The 3,200-nt window shown below is 40.8% G+C and overlaps 1 annotated feature.

Moving 5' to 3' along the window:
- Positions 1,741–2,940: an enhancer, noted in NCBI's record as "P300/CBP strongly-dependent group 1 enhancer chr11:92787513-92788712 (GRCh37/hg19 assembly coordinates)". NCBI's record gives its function as "activates an origin of replication core promoter dependent on BRD2, BRD4, P300/CBP, MED14 and CDK7 cofactors, with strong dependence on P300/CBP, by STARR-seq in HCT116 cells {active_cell/tissue: HCT116}" and the evidence as "EXISTENCE:reporter gene assay evidence [ECO:0000049][PMID:35650434]".

Here is a 3,200-nt window from a genome sequence, read left to right as displayed (position 1 = left end):
ATGCCTGTAATCCCAGCACTTTGGGAGGTGAGGTGGGTGGATCACCTGAGATCAGGAGTTCGAGACCAGCCTGGCCAATGTGGTGAAACTCGTCTCTGCTAAAAATACAAAAAAATTAGCCGGGCCTGGTGGCAGGCATCTGTAATCCCAGCTACTCAGGTGGCTGAAGCAGGAGAATCACTTGTACCCGGGAGGCGGAGGTTGCAGTGAGCCAAGATTGCACCATTGCACTCCAGCCTGGGCAAGAAGAGTGAAACTCTGTCTCAAAAAAAAAAAAAAAAAAAAAAACCAAAAACAAACAAACAAGATCATATCCTTTGCAGGGACATGGATGGAGCTGGAGGCCATTATCTTCCGCAAACTAATGCAGAAACAGAAACAGAAAACCAAATACTACATATTCTCAGTTATAAGTGGGAGCTAAATGATGAGAATACATGGAAGCCTAGAGGGGAATGACACACACTGGAGCCTATCGGAGAGTGAAGGGTGGGAGGAGGGAGAGGATCAGGAAAAATAACCAATGGATATTAGGCTTAATACCAGGGTGAGGAAATAATCTGAATAACACACCCCCAAAGATACATGTTTATCTATGTAACAAACGTTCACATCTTGCACATGTACCCTTGAACCTAAAATAAAAGTAAAAAAAATGCAGTCAGGAGAGTGGGGCTCTGTGGATATTGACATCCTTCCCGAGGCATCAGGTTCAGAGCAATCTCTCACTAAGTAACTGTCTACTGTAATGTACTCATCCTAAGACTTTGAATTGTGGTTGTAAACAGTCTTGAAAATCAGTAGCAATAAATGCATTTAAATATTATTAAAATTGGTCCCCAAGCTCTCCCTCTAACTTCACTTGAACATGAGTGCTGCATAATTTAATATGAGGTGTGTAGCCTTGTTTCTTGTACACGTTCAGAGTATTTTGGGGGTCCAAAACCAAAGATACTTATCCTTCAAAAAAGCCCTCCACATATTCCAATTAATACTCAGGGTCTTTTTCAAATTCTTGGTATTAGCTCCCCGTTAGTCATATTGATAATATCCCTTGTGTATTATAATCTTTCTAGTCTTAAATGCTTCTCAGCAGCCATGAACTCTTCAGATTATCTCCATGAGGATTAAACAACAGAAACTACCTGGACAAGAATCACAGAATCTAATGAGATTCTAGTTTGCTCCTACAAAGGTCTACAGAAAAGAAAATGTGATGACCAAGAGTAATGATAGGTAGTTGGTCACACTCTGAGTTCAGCTGAGAGAATCACTGGAAGAAAGCAATGGTTAAAAAAAAAAATGGAGGTCATAGTTTAGATATAATCCAAGGCCAATTGCCCATAGCCAGGTAGCCAAAGCTGAAGTCATCCTAATTTTTCAGAAATGGTAGCCCTAATCATAAATGAAACACAAAATAAAAGCTTTACGTTTTTGCCAGCAGGATTCGGTAAAAGTAAACTAATCAGCAAAAGTCAGATCAGCTTAAACAGCTCTACTTGCCCTAAAAGAATGTTAATGTGTAACAACCAATTACAAAAAAGGTCACAATACTTCCTCCTTAATGCTTTATAAACTGCACAGTAACTGTTGTAAGCAGAGCTTCTTTTTTTTTTTTTTTTTTTTTGAGACAGAGTCTCACTCTGTCGCCCATGCTGGAGTGCAGTGGCGCCATCTCGGCTCACTGCAAACTCCGCCTCCCAGGTTCACCCCATTCTCCTGCCTCAGCCTCCCGAGTAGCTGGGACTACAGGCGCCCGCTACCATGCCCGGCTAATGTTTTGTATTTTTAGTAGAGACAGGGTTTCACCATGTTAGCCAGGATGGTCTTGATCTCCTGACCTCATGATCCACCTGCCTTGGCCTCCCAAAGTGCTGGGATTACAGGCGTGAGCCACCACGCCTGGCCATAAGCAGAGCTTCTTACCTCTTCTGGTTTGAAGCCTCCCAGTTCCCCAGCTATTCTTTTGAGTGCACAATAAACTCTTACAATTTTTAAATCTGATCTGATTTTTTTGACAAAACTTTCATTCCTGTGTCTTTGAGGAAGTGCACCAAAAGCACTCACCACTCCGTGTCTCTCTTGAAAGCTAATCTCTGTGGTGGTGTTTTTCCACTGTGCCAATCTGAAGAGGCCCAGAGGAGGGAGAAACAGTGTAGGCCACTTTTCATGCTGTGATGACAGACAGCTGAATCATCCTGAATGTGTGCAATTGCATGGGTGTTTATTACTACAAGTTACATGGTGTTTGCCACAGATATGAGTCAACCCAGGAGCATCCTCATATTTGTCATCTTGTAATAATAATCAGAGTATGAAAGTACAAAAACCATTTGGGGGCGTTGATGACCTCTCAGAAACAGAGCTTTCCCATCCACCATGGCCACATTAATAGAAACATCTCTTTATTTTCAGATGATTTACTTTTTAATTAAAAATTATTTTGTAGATTAGATGTGATTCCAGGTTATTACAGTATTTATAGCATTGTCATGTATTTGCGTTTTTATATTTTCTCTGGTAACAAAGAGATGGAAGTACATATACAGTCATAAGTATACTCAAAAAAGTGAATTTCTTATATGAATGCCACCACCTCATTAGTTTCCATCAAAAAAAAAAATTAAACTAATTCAGTAAAATAACTTTGGGTAACAACCATGTGCTGGAAAAAAAAAGAAAAAAGAAACATCTCTCCTCTGTATCTTTTTTTCTGAAAGAAAGACCCTGAGCCTTGTGAACTATCCCCACCTGCACCAGCAGTGTCCTACCTTAGCAACACTTTGTAAGAGCTCCGGCAAGACATGAGTGAGTCTCCAAGTGATGAGAATCCACCCGATGCTGATTACTACAATGAATCATCTGAGTAGGAAGAACAGATTTTACCTTTTCATGTACACTCCCAATTTTATCCTTTACCGCTATCAACCTATGATCAGTATACTTTGAAATACTCTGCAACCAGGGATTCCACAGCACAGAAATGGGTGAGGACGATGGGCTATTTACACCTTCTCTTGATAATGGGAGCTGGAATGAAAACCTCTGGGTCTTGCACTGACCATAAGTCTCTGCAAACTCCTGATGATCACCTCACATGTCAGGGGTCTGTATAAGATAGTGTCTGGTTTGGATTTCCAAAAGAAAATGTGGGGTCATATTCAGCACAATAACAATTTCACATAGGAATTCTCGGTTTC

This window comes from Homo sapiens, chromosome 11 (assembly GCF_000001405.40).
Source record: "Homo sapiens chromosome 11, GRCh38.p14 Primary Assembly".
Taxonomy (NCBI): domain Eukaryota; kingdom Metazoa; phylum Chordata; class Mammalia; order Primates; family Hominidae; genus Homo; species Homo sapiens.
The sequence above is the reverse complement of the archived record's forward strand: the minus strand, read 5'-3'. Positions and strand labels throughout refer to the sequence as shown.